We start from the raw sequence: 17,329 nt of genomic DNA, 5'->3' as shown, positions 1-17,329 counted from the left end.
TGGTATAACAGGAGCTGGAGGAGGAACTGCCATCCTCGGCCAGGGAGGAGAGCATGTAGGAGAAGTTCCACAGAATAGGTAATACAGGATTGGCCTTTGAAAAATGATCAGGACTTCCCAGCAGTACAGGGGGAGGTGGGAGAAGAAGGTGTCTAGGGTGGGGGGAATGTAACAAGGCAGGACCTGGAGACCTAGAAGCTTATGGCTTGTTTGAAAAACGTGCAGCCAACATTCTAGCTACTGGATTATCAAAGGTCAAAGATAGAAAGGGGAGTTTCTATGGCTGAGCCAGCCATCCTGCCAGGAAATCACAGTGGCACCAAAGCCACAGGTACAATGACCGCTGAAGGCACCTGTCACCCCTGACACCAACTCCTGGCTAGCTGCTCCTTCCCGCTTCCCAGTGTTTCTCCATTGCTTGCCAGAAGGACCCAATTCAAAGCCAGACACATTTTTCTGTTTAGTTTCGGTTCTTGCGTCAACAAAAAGCAAATATCCCCACTGTCTTGTGATCACGACCAGGATTCTATAATTTTCTTCATGGGACCAGCCTGAGGTGACAGCACGTTTGGTCAGCTGGAGAGCACTGTTGCTGACTGTGCCATGTGGTTGGCAAAGCGTGAGCTCCCACCCTTCTCCCAGCCCAGATGATACCCATGCTTAACACAGCCTGCAAGTCTGGCTCTAACTACAATGAGCCACTATCACCTCATGAATGCCTCTCAAGGCTGGGGGCAGTGGCTCACACCTGTAATCCCAGCACTTTGGGAGGGCAAGGTGGGCGGATCACGAGGTCAGCAGATGGAGACCATTCTGGCTGACATGGTGAAACCCCGTCTCTACTAAAAATACAAAAATTAGCTGGGTGTGGTGGCATGCACCTGTAGTCCCAGCTACTCAGGAGGCTGAGGCAGGAGAATCGCTTGAACCCGGGAGGTGGAGGTTGGGAGGTTGCAGTGAGCTGAGATCGTGCCATTGCACTCCAGCCTGGGCGACAGAGCGAGACTCCGTCTCAAAAAAAAAGAATGCCTCTCAAAATCTGCATCTATTGCCTGGTGCTTCTCCTGTCTCTGTTAGGTACTGTCCATTTTGTTTTGAATTTGCTTCTAATTTTAATGCATTATACATGTTGTCTTTTCTTCTCTCCCCTTCTTCACCTATCACGAGTGGATTCAGTCCCTGCATTTTTTTCCATTCTTTTTATTTCTTTTCTGGAGTGGACATTCCTTTGCCTGAGTTGAGATGGGTAAAGAACAGGTAATAAGGGCTCTGCCTTCCTGGCTAAAGCTTCACAGACCAAGAAGTTGGTGCCTCAAGGTATATTAAAGCTGTTTCTCTCTAGGCAGAACCTAAGCCAGCTGAAGCCAAAGTGTATACCTTTAAATACTGACATCTCTAAGCAAGTGGAATTCTCCCACAGGTTCCCAACCTGTTAAGCAATCAATTGGCACAAAAAAAAAAAATCAACTCTTGTAAATCACTGATGTCTAGCTAACAGTTGTATGTCCACTCTTTCCTTATGAGACCACATCTTTCTGTTTTTTTCCTCGAGCACCATCATCTCTTCCCTGGTGCATCCTTTTTCTATCTTATAATATGGTCATGTTTTCTAATGGCTGATTTTATGTTTAAAATTTCTCTGTGGGGAATTGAAGACTCTCTAAAGGCAAGATGGAAAACAGAATTCTTAGTTGAGAATACATGATCATGCTCATAATACTGACAATTTAACAAATAGAGTGCTATGTACCTATCATTTTGCTAAAAGCATTTAAATTATTTCCAGCCATCATAATAACTCAATCAGATAAGTATTCTGTTCTAATCATTTAAAAAATGTGAAAACAAGCTTAAGGAGATTAATTTCTTTTGTTTATTTTTTAATCCAAAGTTACACATCTTATATACAGTGGAGCCAAAATTTAATTCCGATCTGTCTCCTGAGTCACCCTGTTAATCTACATATTCTACTACCTCCAAACCATCTTGAAATTCTGAAAATGGTGCTGTAGAAATTTGAAATGGAGCTTGTAGAAATTTGGAAAATTTGGCCAGAGTGAGAATCATGACAGAATCTCTGCCTCAGTAACAGCTTTAATGCTTCTGGGGAGAAAATCGGGTTCTATTTCTTCAGTCTTTTTGTTGGAGGGTTGTTGTGGGGTGGACATTGTGAACCACAGACATGCTGATTACAACCAGTCTTTCCTGAAAATTACAGACAAGTCTGAACTTTGGCATTCTCATCTTAAAGGCAAAAGGAGGGAAAATAATTTCTGACAGAAATAAACAAGGGAGAAGAACAGAATAAGCATTGCCCTTTACTGCCCACCAACCCACTTAATCAGCACTGTACATGCTTTTATATACCTTGCATTTCTATTAAGCCATCATTCTCTCTGCTTGTTAGAGCCCCCATGTTTTGCTTTCAAATGGTTTAAAAACATCTGCTCTTTCCCTGTGGAGCCAGAGAGAAGAGTGTGAATACCTCCCCTTCCCAGGAACTTGGTCCTGGTGATAGTGTTCTTTCAACTCACCTGCATGGGCCTGATGTACTGCCCACTGCTGGCCTGAAGGGCAAATCCCCTTTGACAAGTGATAGCACACTTCATGAGACCTGGGCCTATAGAGGTACAGTTCACCACATCAGCATGATCAAGCAGCAATGACGGACAGCTGTCCTGCTTCCCACAGGGCCGATGGATACAGCTGGGATAAGAGAAATAGAACCATCTTAGGACTGGTTGAGAACCAGTAAGGAGGAGCAATGACTTTGCAGCTCCATCTGGGAGGGCTCCTAAACCAGAGAGAACAATTTTCTCCAAAACTGATATTTAACTCATCACCTTTTTTCTCTACTACCCAACACCATGCAGCATAATAGACATAAAAACTAACAGCTAACAAGTAACAGTTAGTTGACTTTCTATGGCTCTTTCTTCCAGGAGGATCAAATGGTGATGAAATGAGGTGGAGAACAGATTCTGAGAGTTCTGTGTGGCTCAGAAATGAATAGATCATGGGATGACACTCAAAATATTTAACAACCAGTACTGTTGGGTCCCAAGCAATTAGAACAAATCCAGGACAAAGCTCAGGAGTGAATCCTGGAGGCCCCTCATTATGTCAGGCATGAATCTTTCAAATGTTTGATCACAAGGTGACACAGAAGGCCATGTCTGAAGGGCCTAGGTTTCTAAGGTGACAGAAAGGCAACACCAATTAACCGATTGGTATGGAAATATTTTCACAACTGCTAAAGCCATAGCAGTACATACCACTGAATATTAGCACAGACTGAGCAGAAATTGAACCGATTACTGGAAGAGGAAATTCACACCTCTTGAATCCATGTCCCATGCCTAACTTATGCTAGATGCTTCCACAGACATCCTCTCAGCAGAGAACTGCTGCTTGGATTGCCAGGGCCAATCTAGACTCAGCCTGGATCATAACAGCAGCAAGAATACACTGGAGCAGGCCGGATGCGGTGGCTCACGCCCATAATCCCAGCGCTTTGGGAGGCCAAGGCGGGCGGATCACGAGGTCAGGAGATAGAGACTGTCCTGGCTAACACGGTGAAACCCCATCTCTACTAAAAATACAAACAATTAGCCGGATGTGGTTGCAGGCACCTGTAGTCCCAGCTACTAGGGAGGCTGAGGCAGGAGAATGGCGTGAACCCGGGAGGCGGAGCTTGCAGTGAGCCCAGATCTCGCCACTGCACTCCAGCCTGAGCGACAGAGCGAGACTCCGTCTCAAAAAAAAAAAAAAAAAAGAATACACTGGAGCAAAATGAGTGTCACCCTCTTGCCATGGCAGAACCATAGAGGTTAATAATTAGGGCATTAGCCTCAGGCTCTCTGGAATTGAATCCTGGACCCATCATTTAACATCTGTGCGATTTGGATTGAGTTATTCATTCCCAAGTGTTTCAACTCCTTCCCCTATAAGACGGGGATAATTATGGCAACCTCACAGAGTTGTTATTCCTCTACTGCATGAAGCACTGCAAAAGGCCTCACTGGTCTGTTTGCTGTTTGTCACCCCACTTTTTTGTTCTCCCATTTGTGTACCTTTGCTCAATTTGTTGAGATTTCTAAAAGGCCTTCTGCTATGGTTTGGATATGGTTTGTCCCCAAAAAACTCATGTTGAAATTTCATTCCCAATGTGGCAGTATTGGTAGGTGGGGCCTAGTGGAAGGTGTTTGGGTCATGAGGGTGGATCCCTCATGAATGGCTTAGTGCTGTTCTTGTGGTAGTGACTGAATTAGTTCTCACTGTAATAGGTTAGTTCCCATGAGAGTGGATTGTTATAAAGTCAGGGTGCCTCTCAAGTTTTGCACCTTTGCATGTGTTTGCTTCTGCCATGTATGACACAGCAAGAAAGCCGAGCATACACCAGCGTCATGCTTCTTGCACTTCCCAGACTATAGAACCATGAGCTAAGTGAATCTCTTTTCTTTATAAATTACCCAGTATCAGGCATTCAGTTATAGCAACACAAATTGAGCTAAGACACTCTCCTTCTCAAAGAAGTCCCTTCAGATGCCCTCTTCCTTTGAACTTCCCAGTGAAATTTAAAAAATAACTCCCTTCTAAATTTCTTTTGCTTTATCTTCTGTTATAGTTGTGTATGCATTTTCTCATTCTTTAATCAGTGAATTAACTTATTTATCCTTTTATTCACAAGGTAATTAGTATCTGAGTGTCTCTTAAATGCTCAATGTTCCAACTAGATTATGGACACTCTGAAGAGGAAAACTGACTCTTACCCACTTTATATTCAACGCATGACTTGCTGTAGTTGACACAATAAAAATTTGCTAAGTTACGATTGTTCATGTTATAGAGAGCAAAGTCAGTCCATAGCTATCAAAGTGAGAAATTTGTTAAATTTTATAATGACAAATGGGGATGTGAAATATGAAAATATCATTAAACACTGATTCAACCATCTTGCTCCACCATTCATTAATAAGCATTTACTGAGCACTTACTGTTAGGAAGGCCTCGATCTGAGTACCAGTGGTATAAGAACCATGCTCTTAGGGAATACATAGTCTAGTATGGAAGACTAGCAAGATATTTTCTTGCTCTTGATGTTGTTGCCCTTGGTGCTAATTATTAGCCCAAAGATATGACTACTATGAATCTTGTCATCAGTAGTGTGCTCTGTTTGTCCCTGAATTGTGTTAGTGGTCAACTACTTTATCAAAGATCTGGGCAACAATATAAGAAAGTAGAAAATAAATATCATTGAATATGCACATACTACCTTGAAATAATTGAGACTTGACTTAAAAAGCACTAGCCCCAAAAGGGTGAATTCAGACTAAATATGCTAAAGTTGCTGACCCTGCTCTTATGCCCTTGGGATTTAAATCATATGTCAGTGATACTCTCATTTCTTTTATCTATGTTTATTATGTATAAGTTGGAAGAACTGGAGGTGATCGGTGTGAAGAAAATGTTTTCACAAGTTTAAGCCCTGGTTATTTCCTGAGATGATGAAGTATCCATTATGAGACCTGATGAAGGAAGAAATATATAAGGTGGGGGTTGTTAATGAGTCAGCATGAATTCCCCAAATTCAATGCTGATATGCAATGTAGGAAATGAATTTTTGTCTCCAAATATGTATTTAATCTATCTGATAAGGAAGCTAAAATCTGACCATCCTTTATGAAATGTGATCAAGATGCTTCATTAGTGATTCTAAAGAACTCCTAGTTCTCTAGATGCCACATGCCATGGATGTCCCAAACATAATCTCTTCTTCAGCATGCTAAACAGGAAGTACTGGGAAACAGAGAGTCATTAATACTCTGGTCCACATTAGTTTATTGGAAAGAAGTCAGGGTGAAAAGAGCAAGTGCTGTTTTTGAGTGACTTCGTCCAATTAATCCATGCCATCATTGAGGACAAATACATGTTGAGACAAGACACAAAACAAATGCTCTGAATGAGCCTCCCTCCATCAAAATGGGAACTACTATTGTTATGACTGCCAGTGTGAGAAGTCCATCCAGCAGGAGAAGCAAGGGAGGAAGAATGAGACAGGGGAGAATATGAGAGGGAAAAGTGGCATGAAATAAGACCAACACGAAAAAAAAAAAAAAAGGACCAAACCCAGACCTGTTTATGAAGTGAGAAATGGTTTTAGGGCAGCTGCTGCAAATTCTTTCACTAGCTTATATTTCCATTTGCTTCCTTTTTAAGGAATTTGTTTTATGAGGACAGAGTTTGTCAGGTCGTTAGCTTCTGATGGCATCTGGTACCAATTGTAGACTTCTCTCCCTTGCACCCCAACCCCAAAACCCCTTTTGTGTTTCTCTTCCACTACAAACACTGCTTCTCTGAGTGAGATTGTTGTGTTCTCCATTATCCCACCCTCCCGGTACATTCTCCTTTCTACCTAATACTACATAAGTAGTAAAAGTAATTCATCTTAAAAGTTCTCAAAAGCTTTCTTCTTATGATCTTTGGACAAACCTTACTGAAAGTGGCAGAAGTGAAGCCTTACAATGCCCCAGAGAAGTGGGAAGTTAGGTATTTATCTTGGTTTGACATACAAGAAAACTAAAGCTGTTTGGAGACTGGCTGGAGGCCACACAGCAAGTCAGAGGAAAATCCTCAGGCTGGATCTCAGAGCCCTCACTCTCAGGGCCAGCCTAGACCACCGGGCCATCTCCCACGGGATGAGGTTGCTTTCCTGTTGCTTTCTTCCCAATTCAGGAGCTAGCAGCAGAGGCCAGAGTGAGCCAAGGAGCTCCTCAGCAGGGTAGGCAAGGGAAAAACATAGCATATCTAATAGTCCAATAGTTTTGAGCAGTTCTCTTTTAAATAGCAGTAAATCAAAGTGATGATATTTGTCCAGCTGCTGCTGTCTGCACGATGTCCTGCCCAGTGTGCATCCTCTTTTGGCAATACCCTCTCTCTTTCCATCTATGTTTCCAGCTCTTTCCCCACCCCATTACAACGTGTTCTCAGGTAAGAATATGATGTACCTTGTCAGATATGATTCATAGGTATTTCCATTTTAACAAGAGTCAGTGTTTTAAGCCAAAGGATTGAGTTTTTCACAAGGGAGGTTTAAGTCAACAAGTTCTTAGAAATCATACTATGTAGATGGCCACCTACACATAACCCTAGATTTGCTCTTTGTCTCTCCGCTCTGATAAGCCTCTACTCTCTTTCTGCTGGTCTTCACTTCCAATGTCATTGTGTTGCAATGTTTTAAAACATGTTTTTGGCCGGGTGCGGTGGCTCATATCTGTAATACCAGCACTTTGGGAGGCCGAGGCGGGCGGATCACGAGGTCAGGAGATCGAGATCATCCTGGCTAACACGGTGAAACCCCATCTCTACTAAAAATACAAAAAATTAGCTAGGCATGGTGGCAGGCGCCTGTAGTCCCAGCTACCCGGGAGGCTGAGACAGGAGAATGGCATGAACCCAGGAGGTAGAGCTTGCAGTGAGCCGAGATTGCTCCACTGCACTCCAGCCTGGGTGACAGAGCAAGACTCTGTCTCAAAAACAAACAAACAAAAAAAACAAAAACAAAAAAACCATGCTTTTGATTGAGGAATTTTTGTTCAAAATGTATGTTAACCCTTGGCTATTGTCCTCTTGTACAGAACCTGCCTGTGGGCACCCGGGCACAATCCTAGCAATGCCCTGCAATAATGATGTGTGTTTTTCCCTTGTTGGTTGTGTATGTGAATGATAACTGTACTTGGGAAGCCTCTAAGAGTGGCCCTCTTATTCCATAAGGCAGGCTTTACCATAGCTGTGCATTAGACTCACTTAGGAAGCTTTTTAAAAAACATATACTCCTGCTTTATCCCCTGAAAATTTTGATTCCATAGGCCTGCAGTGGGATTCCAGCATTTGATGTTTATAAGTTTCAAAGTGTTGATACTCACTAGGAGTAAAGCTCCACCCCATAAAGATCTAGATATATGTAACCTGAAAGATATGTCAATAAATTCTATAGGCCAAGACTGACTCCAGAAGGAGACATTGGCCCCACTGCTTCATCATTATGTTTTACTATATTAAACTCAAATTATCAAAAAGAAGCCACAAGGTAGATCAAAAGCATAAAACATATCCCCTTTTCTGAAGAAACTTTGAATACAGCTAAAGAGAAAAAAACAATTAAATCATGTGTTACTGATTATAAATTCATGGCTATTTCTGAAAAAGTTTTATTATTGAATTTGATTTGACTTTAATGAAAATAGAATTTGGAAAGGCAAGAGATGTCCTGGAAAGTTTTCTTCAATTCTTTACAGACAGAACAAAGGAAAAATAGAAATCTCAAAACATGGATAAAAATACCATTTCCCCTATCACCGTGAACTGAAAAAAATTCAGTGTGTGCAGATCTCTTAAATCTTGACTAACAACTTTAGATAATTCTATACTGAAAGGTGTCAACCTTTACATCTGAAAACAGACTTAGGGGTAGGTTCAGACTTAGGGGCAGGTTCCCAAAGTCTTCCTGCATCTTTCAATGGTTAGTGAGGAACAGGGTAAGGTAGACACCAGAAAAAAGACATCATTATTTGCAGATAGAGTGGCCAGCCCCATCAATAAACTTTCCATGAACTGTCCCCCAGAGAATGCCAAACCAGGCACCTCTTTTAGTTGTCCACTTTTTGAGGCTATCGCAGGGACATTGGCATAGCTTCCAATACAGGTCCATATTCGGGGAGCTCAGTAGTTCCTAGCAAACAGGCAAAGTCCTGTTATTCTGCCTACAGCTGCCCTGAAGCTTTGGTTCAAGGTTTCCCTGAGGTTCTGAGCCACCCTGAAAGAACTCCAGAAGGCTATAACAATACTTCAGAGTCGGTCAGAATCAGTACTAAAATAATTTTTTTTCCTATGTAAGAGTGCGTGAAAGATTAAAAACTCCATTTCCTGATGGTGATGGAGGTGGGGAACGGTGGGCATTTAACAACAATTTTAGAGGAACCAGAGCTCATTAAAACAGAAACAGATCTGAAAGATAATTCAACTCAAATTTCTTGTATTAAATGAGAAAAGTTAGCCCAAAAGAAATGATGGGATATTTCAGAACTTCCTACAATACTAAGATTGTAATATAATAACAAAGAAGCACTTAATTGAGCTTTAGCTCAGACTTAAAATCAGGGTGACATCAGCTCATAAACTTCTCTAAAGTCAGTATCCCACCCTCCCCCAGGCATTCATAAAAGTCTGATCACAACTTTTATCTAGCGTATAGCTTTGCTTAAGAGAAACTGGCATCTGTACTACACTTTTCAAGAAACAATACAATGTGATGAAGAAAGTAGTAGACCAAGGCCACATGACTTGGGTTCTGGTCTTGGCTTGCCCCTGCTGGCCTCTAGGACCTTGGGCAAGTCTCTTAACCATCTTGGCCTTCCATCTGCAAATTAGTAAAATGATGGGGTTGAACTGACTTCTATCAAAGGGCCCTTCCAGCTTTAACATGGTATTGAGTTTCACAGATGAGGTGATGGTGGTATTGGGGTGGGAGTGCAGAAAACCCATGAACAGGCAGGATGTGGTAGAGAACTCAAGAAAGAGTTTCTCATAATCTTTCTTGCTCAGTATATTTTTTTAGCGTAATGTCCCAACTTTTCAGTTGTTCAGTTAAACAAAATATTGCAATTCATTTATCCAAGAAGTGCCACCCTTGACTAAATAGCAGTCCCAGAGGTCTTTCTAGAAACAGCTCTTTTAAGGTTAAGTAGTAAAAGAGGATCCAATTTTTCTCTACTGTTTCACTTCATTGTATTGATTCTTATGCAAATAAGAGGGTATGGGCTAAGAAGGAATGCATGCTCTGAATTTGGCAGCAGATAGGAGTAGGATGTACAGAATGTAGAGTGGACTGGATGAGACAGAGTCCTCATTTAATTTTCCCACCACCAAATGCAAACCATTAACAACAATAACAGCATTCATCCTTAGATAGCTTTGCTATTTATCCAAACTAATAGAGAAAAAAAGTCTTGATTCTGACTCCCCATTCTGCTTCCTCCTCACTTCTGGATTCATCTCTGCTTTGTAGGACAGGAACCAGGTTAAATGTTAAATATATTTCCTTCTTGGGAGGACCAATGCTGGTACTTTGAGGTGTTGAGAACCCTACTAACTGGGAAAATAAAATTAATTCAAGTTCTTCTCCTCTAAAGATTCTCATCTGAGGGAAACAGAAGAATCTCAGCAGTAATTCGGATTCTTCCTTCGCATGATAGAAAAATGTTGAATTATCACGCCAAACTGACTTATCCTTCCATTCCTACCCTGGGAAAGTGGAAGTTTCTCTGCTCCTTTATTTAAGTCTCAGCACAGAGTTTGGGTCCTCAAAATAGATCTGTCAGGATGTGTCCATCTCTTCCTAGAATGCGACCTATTTGTAAGTTCAGAACTAGACTTGGGGGTCCTAGTGCTGGGCAAATTGCTTCACTTATTTTTGATTCTGGGTATGGGTTTTACCATGGTTGTCTGTAGATGGATTAAAGACCTAAATGTAAGACCTAAAACCATAAAAACCCTAGAAGAAAACCTAGGCAATACCACTCAGGACATAAGCATGGGCAAGGACTTCATGACTAAAACACCAAAAGCAATGGCAACAAAAGCCAAAATTGACAAATGGGCTCTAATTAAACTAAAGAGCTTCTGCACAGCAAAAGAAACTACCATCAGAGTGAACAGGCAACCTACAGAATGGAAGCAAGTTTTTGCAATCTACCCATCTGACAAAGGTCTAATATCCAGAATCTACAAAGAACTTAAACAAATTTACAAGAAAAAAACAAGCCCATCAAAACGTAGGCAAAGGATATGAAGAGACACCTCTCAAAAGAAGACATTTATGCAGCCAACAGACATATGAAAAAATGCTCATCATCACTGGTCATCAGAGAAATGCAAATCAAAACCACAATGAGATACCATCTCACGCCAGTTAGAATGGTGATCATTAAAAAGTCAGGAAAGAACAGATGCTGGAGAGGATGTGGAGAAATAAGAACGCTTTTACACTGTTGGTAGGAGTGGAAATTAGTTTAACCATTGTGGAAGACAGTGTGATGATTCCTCAAGGATCTAGAACTAGAAATACCATTTGACCCAGCAATCCCACTACTGAGTATATACCCAAAGGATTATAAATCATGCTACTATAAAGACACGTGCACACGTATGTTTATTGCGGCACTATTCACAATAGCAAAGACTTGGAACCAACCCAAACGTCCATCAGTAATAGACTGGATAAGAAAATGTGGCACATATACACCATGGAATACTATGCAGCCACAAAAAAGGATGAGTTCATGTCCTTTGCAGGGGCATGGATGAAGCTGGAAACCATCATTCTCAGCAAAATACCACAAGGACAGAAAACCAAACACTGCATGTTCTCACTCATAAGTGGGAGTCGAACAATGAGAACACATGGACACAGAGAGGGGAACATCACACACCGGGGCCTTTTGGCGGCGGGGCTGGGGGAGGCATAGTGTTAGGAGAAATACCTAATGTAAGTGATGAGTTGATGGGTGCGGCAAACCAACATGGCACATGTATACCTATGTAACAAACCTGCACATTGTGCACATGTACCCTAGAACTTAAAGTATGATAATAATAATAATAATAAGAGTCTTATCTACAGGGCCCCTGTCTTTCTGAAGAGAAACAGATTTACATTACACAGCCAAAAGTGCTCTCTTTCAAAAGCCCTGTCTCACCAAGTTTCAGAACCCATGATTTTAACATAGATTATAAAATCTCTGGAATACCAAAGAAAGAACAAAAGCAATTCAATTGCAGACTAATATACAGTTAATGTGCTTCCTAGCACTTGCCCTGGGAAGCAGAATCATTTATTTGAAACGACAAAAAGATATGTATATATTAGCTGATCCTTGAACAACATGAGTCTGAACTTTGCCAGTCCGCCTACATACATATTTTCTTCCACCTCTCCCAACCTTGAGACAGCAGAACCAGCCCCTCCTATTCTTCCTCCTCCTCAACCTATTCAACATGAAGACAATGAGGATGAAGATCTTTATGATGATACACTTCCACTTAATAAACTGTAAATATGGCCAGGCATAGTGGCTCACGCCTGTAATTCCAACACTTTGGGAGGCTGAGGTGGGTGGATCACTTGAGGTCAGGAGTTCGAGACCAGCCTGGCCAACATGGTGAAACCCCATGTACTAAACTACAAAATTAGCTGGGCGTGATGGCACATGCCTGTAATCCTAGCTACTTGGGAGACTGAGGCAGGAGAATCGCTTGAACCCGGGAGATGGACATTGCAGTGAGCCGAGATTGTGCTGCACTCCAACCTGGGCAACAAGAGCGAAACTCTGTCTCAATAATAATAATAATAATTTGTAAATATATTTTGTCTTCCTCATAATTTTCCTAATAACATTTTTTCTCTAGCTTACAATATTATAAGAATAGAGTATGTAATATGTTTGATATATCAAATATGTGTTAATGGACTTTATGTTATTGGTAATGCTTCCAGTCAACAGCAGGCTTTCAGTAGTTAAATTTTGGGGAGGTCAAAAATTATAGGCAAATTTTTGACTGTACAGAGGTCAGTGCCCCTAATCCATGTGCTGTTCAAGCGTCAACTCTAAATGCTTTTCTCCTCCCAACACACATGATTTGCAAAGGCAGTAGCCATCTCCTTGTGGGGCACTTCCTAAAGAGCAATGATCACTGGTACCCTCCAAGGGACTGCACTGCTGACTCTCTCTCTATTATTTATTCCTGGACACAAATTAAGCTATTCACTAGGGAATGACACTTCCCCAACTACATTCATAGCCTGAGCTTGGGAAATTGTGAAACATGAAGAGTTAGGTGAGAACAATACAGCCCCGTGATGAAGTTTAATGGGCATGAGCTTCAGACTGTGTCACTCCTAGAACAGTATCTACAGGGCATGAAGACAGGGTAGCCTGGCTGCTCTGTGGGCTATACATAAGCTACGGCTAAATGGAAGTCTTAAGGATTTACAATCCAGCTCCTTGAATGGCTCCCAAATTCACATGCAGAAGTAAGAACATAAAACACCTGTGGGGCCCCTTTGGGACTCTACCTCTCCCTACTTCTCCTTGGTTTATTTTCCTTGTAAATTTCTAGACTCCCCAACAGAAGCTTCATGTTGACTCTGTCATCTTCTAATCCTAGAGTTTGTCAGTCCTTTGTTGATATCAGATTTGGAATATTATTGTCTTCAGTTCTTTTGCTCTTCCTAGCCTACTGGAGCCTTGCAACACTGATGGCTCATTTGCTTATGGAGAAATCAAGGGTTGAGGAAGGGAAGAGACTGTGCTAAAATCATGCTGTGAGACTAAATGATGTAGACAAAAGTGAGAAGCAGGGGTCTGGGCATTGGGTTTGCTGCCACTTCAATCTCCAGACTTCCTCTGCCTGCAGTGCTATGGTTGCACACAAAACCAGACACGGCCTGAGAGTCATTTCAACCAGAGCTTACGGTCAAATCTGTCTACAGCATCTGCCTCCTTGGCAGGCTGGCAAAATGACAGAACCTTGGAAATACTACTGGTTTCCTTTTATTTTCTGTGCTCTCTCCACCAGCTGCCATGAATACAGACTATACTGACAGGGCCAGCTCTGAGCAAAATTGGGAAGTAGGTGACATTTTTAATTCATCCCTCTTTTCAATACTACTTTTTCTACTTCTCTTGTTCCCTAAAACTTCTAAATGGCTATACTAGGTTACATTTCAGCAGGGCCATGGGGCTTATTTTTGAATTATCAAAATCCATAAGAGAATACTTCTGGTATAAATTTCAGCAGGGCCATGGGGCTTATTTTTGAATTATCAAAATCCATAAGAGAATACTTCTGGTATAAATAGTTGGTAAAGACTTAAAACACTTTTACTTCTAGTATATAGTTATTTACTATTTTAAAGAGGCCTCTGGAGATTGCTGAGACTCTGGAGATTGTTGAGACTTAAAGAAAATAATTCTTAATGATGGAATTTCAGGAACTATGATAAGTCACTAGGGAGGAGTTGTTTTAAAATCAGTCTATTCCTTGGGGGTGGACCTCAACCCTAAGTCTTCCTAAGCTGGTTTCACCTGTTCCTAGCTTTTGACCAAAAGCTTCCACCCAGCTAGTTCTCAGAATGTATCCCACTAAGAACAATCTCAGACAAAGTAATGTTTCAATAAAGGCTATTCTGGAATTGTCTTAGCCATACTTCATTAAGCCCACCCAAAAGACCATGTCCATGGCCTCTTCATTTTTCCTCTATAACCTCATGAGTTGAAAGAAAAAAAAAAAAAAAACAGTTGAAAAGGCTCAAATAGCTCACTGTGCCGCCCAAAGCTGACTTGTCATACAGCCAGCCATCCATCATCTGCCAGGGGAATCAGAATCCTCTCTAGTGGGTTTTCCTTCTTCCTTCTTATTTTATGGACAAATCATTATGGGAAAAGGAAGTTGGGCAAGAAAGCAAGGGAGCAGTTGAACAGCTATAATTCTTTCCTTGCTTAAAAGAAACTGTGTAGAAAATAAGAGACTCAATGTTAATTTGTTAAACTACTTTGAGGAGGCAGATAATCAGATGAGTAGAAAGGCAATACATATTTCATTTCTATAGTGCCTTTCCCAGCAGCAAGAGAGAACATTTCCCATCACTCAGGAACATTAAAAGGAAACCTTATGATAAAAATAATAGATGAGGAGTCAAAAAATAAATGCTTTAAAATGCACTCCCTAAGCCAAAAAAAAAAAAAAAAAAAAAAAAAAGGAGGAGCCTTCACATCTTGAGGCTATCAAAAGGGAAGTAATCCAAACGTTCTACATAGGACTGAGCAGAGGAAGAAGAAGGCTGGAAAGGTTTGGAACCCAATCCAGGTGGAAGAGGAGGGAAAAGAGTTGGCATTTCAAATCTGAGCTCCAAATAATTGAAGCACAATAGGAATCCGTAAAGCAGCAGATGAGGGTTCCAGGGAAAAATAAAGCATGAAGCAGCATGACAGATAATAGAGATGAAATAATACTATTACCAAGACCAGACTCAGAGACTGATTACAGCAGGGATGGAATGGCAAAGTACTGAGCTGTGCCCCGGCTTCCTCTCCCTTGACTGGGGCTCAGATGTCCTGTAAGCTGGCTCCAGCTCAATTTGTAACCTATAGTGTAACCAAGAAGAAACATTTTCACACCTGAGTCTACCTCTCCTAAATGAGACAGCCACTTCCTTCCAGAAATTCTCTGGGGACTATTAGGACATAAAAGTGAAGTTCTATGGAAAAGTTCCTTTTCTTTCTACTGCATCCCTCTACTTCCCACCTATAATTCCGTATCTACAGTGAATTCTCCATGAACAATAGAGGTTAACACATAAATTATTTGCACTGGACTTAATGATTCAGATTACATTTTCTCTGCCAGCAGATCGACCTTCTCAAGAATAGCTTTCTAAGGCTAAAGACATCTTTCGTGTCACTAGCACACAGTCCCATTGGAGGGGATCTGAGGAGTCCAGGCAGCCAGAGTAAGTCAACCTGAAGATAAGATTAACATGGCATGTTACCCAAATTCATAAACTGCAATGGGAAAATTTGTGTCATTTGGATGACTAATTGTTGATTTTTCTACCAGGATTATTTATTTTTGCAGGCCCTGCTTCAGGGAACAGTAAACTGAAGAACAGAGGTTAACAGAGACAATGAAGGTGACTAAATTAGTATTCATGTCACAAATTTGCAGGTCTCTATCTGTGAGTCTGGGGCATTGCAAGCCAAACCAAATATACATTATTCACTGATTACTCATTTTTGAAAATTACTTGGTACTCTTCTTTACACAAGCATGGTTAGCAAAGCAAGGCAGGTATGTTAATTATATGTATATGTTCAGTTTTATGATAAATATACAACAGCTAGAGGCTGGACTCCAAATGATGTACATAATAACAGCCTAATGGTAAATGTTTTTTTTTTTTTTTTTTTTTTTATTATACTCTAAGTTTTAGGGTACATGTGCACATTGTGCAGGTTAGTTACATATGTATACATGTGCCATGCTGGTGCGCTGCACCCACTAACGTGTCATCTAGCATTAGGTATATCTCCCAATGCTATCCCTCCCCCCTCCCCCGACCCCACCACAGTCCCCCGAGTGTGATATTCCCCTTCCTGTGTCCATGTGATCTCATTGTTCAATTCCCACCTATGAGTGAGAATATGCGGTGTTTGATTTTTTGTTCTTGCGATAGTTTACTGAGAATGATGGTTTCCAATTTCATCCATGTCCCTACAAAGGACATGAACTCATCATTTTTTATGGCTGCATAGTATTCCATGGTGTATATGTGCCACATTTTCTTAATCCAGTCTATCATTGTTGGACATTTGGGTTGGTTCCAAGTCTTTGCTATTGTGAATAGTGCCGCAATAAACATACGTGTGCATGTGTCTTTAGAGCAGCATGATTTATAGTCCTTTGGGTATATACCCAGTAATGGGATGGCTGGGTCAAATGGTATTTCTAGTTCTAGATCCCTGAGGAATCGCCACACTGACTTCCACAATGGTTGAACTAGTTTACAGTCCCACCAACAGTGTAAAAGTGTTCCTATTTCTCCACATCCTCTCCAGCACCTGTTGTTTCCTGACTTTTTAATGATTGCCATTCTAACTGGTGTGAGATGATATCTCATAGTGGTTTTGATTTGCATTTCTCTGATGGCCAGTGATGATGAGCATTTCTTCATGTGTTTTTTGGCTGCATAAATGTCTTCTTTTGGGAAGTGTCTGTTCATGTCCTTCGCCCACTTTTTGATGGGGTTGTTTGTTTTTTTCTTGTAAATTTGTTTGAGTTCATTGTAGATTCTGGATATTAGCCCTTTGTCAGATGAGTAGGTTGCGAAAATTTTCTCCCATGTTGTAGGTTGCCTGTTCACTCTGATGGTAGTTTCTTTTGCTGTGCAGAAGCTCTTTAGTTTAATTAGATCCCATTTGTCAATTTTGGCTTTTGTTGCCATTGCTTTTGGTGTTTTGGACATGAAGTCCTTGCCCACGCCTATGTCCTGACTTCAAACTATACTACAAGGCTACAGTAACCAAAACAGCATGGTACTGGTACCAAAACAGAGATATAGATCAATGGAACAGAACAGAGCCCTCAGAAATAATGCCGCATATCTACAACTACCTGATCTTTGACAAACCTGAGAAAAACAAGCAATGGGGAAAGGATTCCCTATTTAACAAATGGTGCTGGGAAAACTGGCTAGCCATATGTAGAAAGCTGA

At 41.1% G+C, this 17,329-nt stretch overlaps 1 protein-coding gene across 6 annotated transcripts in view; it reads right to left on the bottom strand.

Annotated features, from left to right (window-relative positions):
- Window positions 1–17,329, bottom strand: part of PAPPA2 (pappalysin 2) — a 382,427-nt gene that overhangs the window by 77,230 nt on the left and 287,868 nt on the right. For all 6 annotated transcript variants that reach the window (XM_047427180.1, XM_017002024.2, XM_017002023.2 and 3 more), the window contains one exon: window positions 2,535–2,706. In XM_047427180.1, the coding sequence (XP_047283136.1) occupies window positions 2,535–2,706 (172 nt within the window). The remainder of the gene's footprint in view (window positions 1–2,534; window positions 2,707–17,329) is intronic.

This window comes from Homo sapiens, chromosome 1 (genome assembly GCF_000001405.40).
Source record: "Homo sapiens chromosome 1, GRCh38.p14 Primary Assembly".
Taxonomy (NCBI): domain Eukaryota; kingdom Metazoa; phylum Chordata; class Mammalia; order Primates; family Hominidae; genus Homo; species Homo sapiens.
This window is presented reverse-complemented; position numbering and strand designations above follow the sequence as displayed.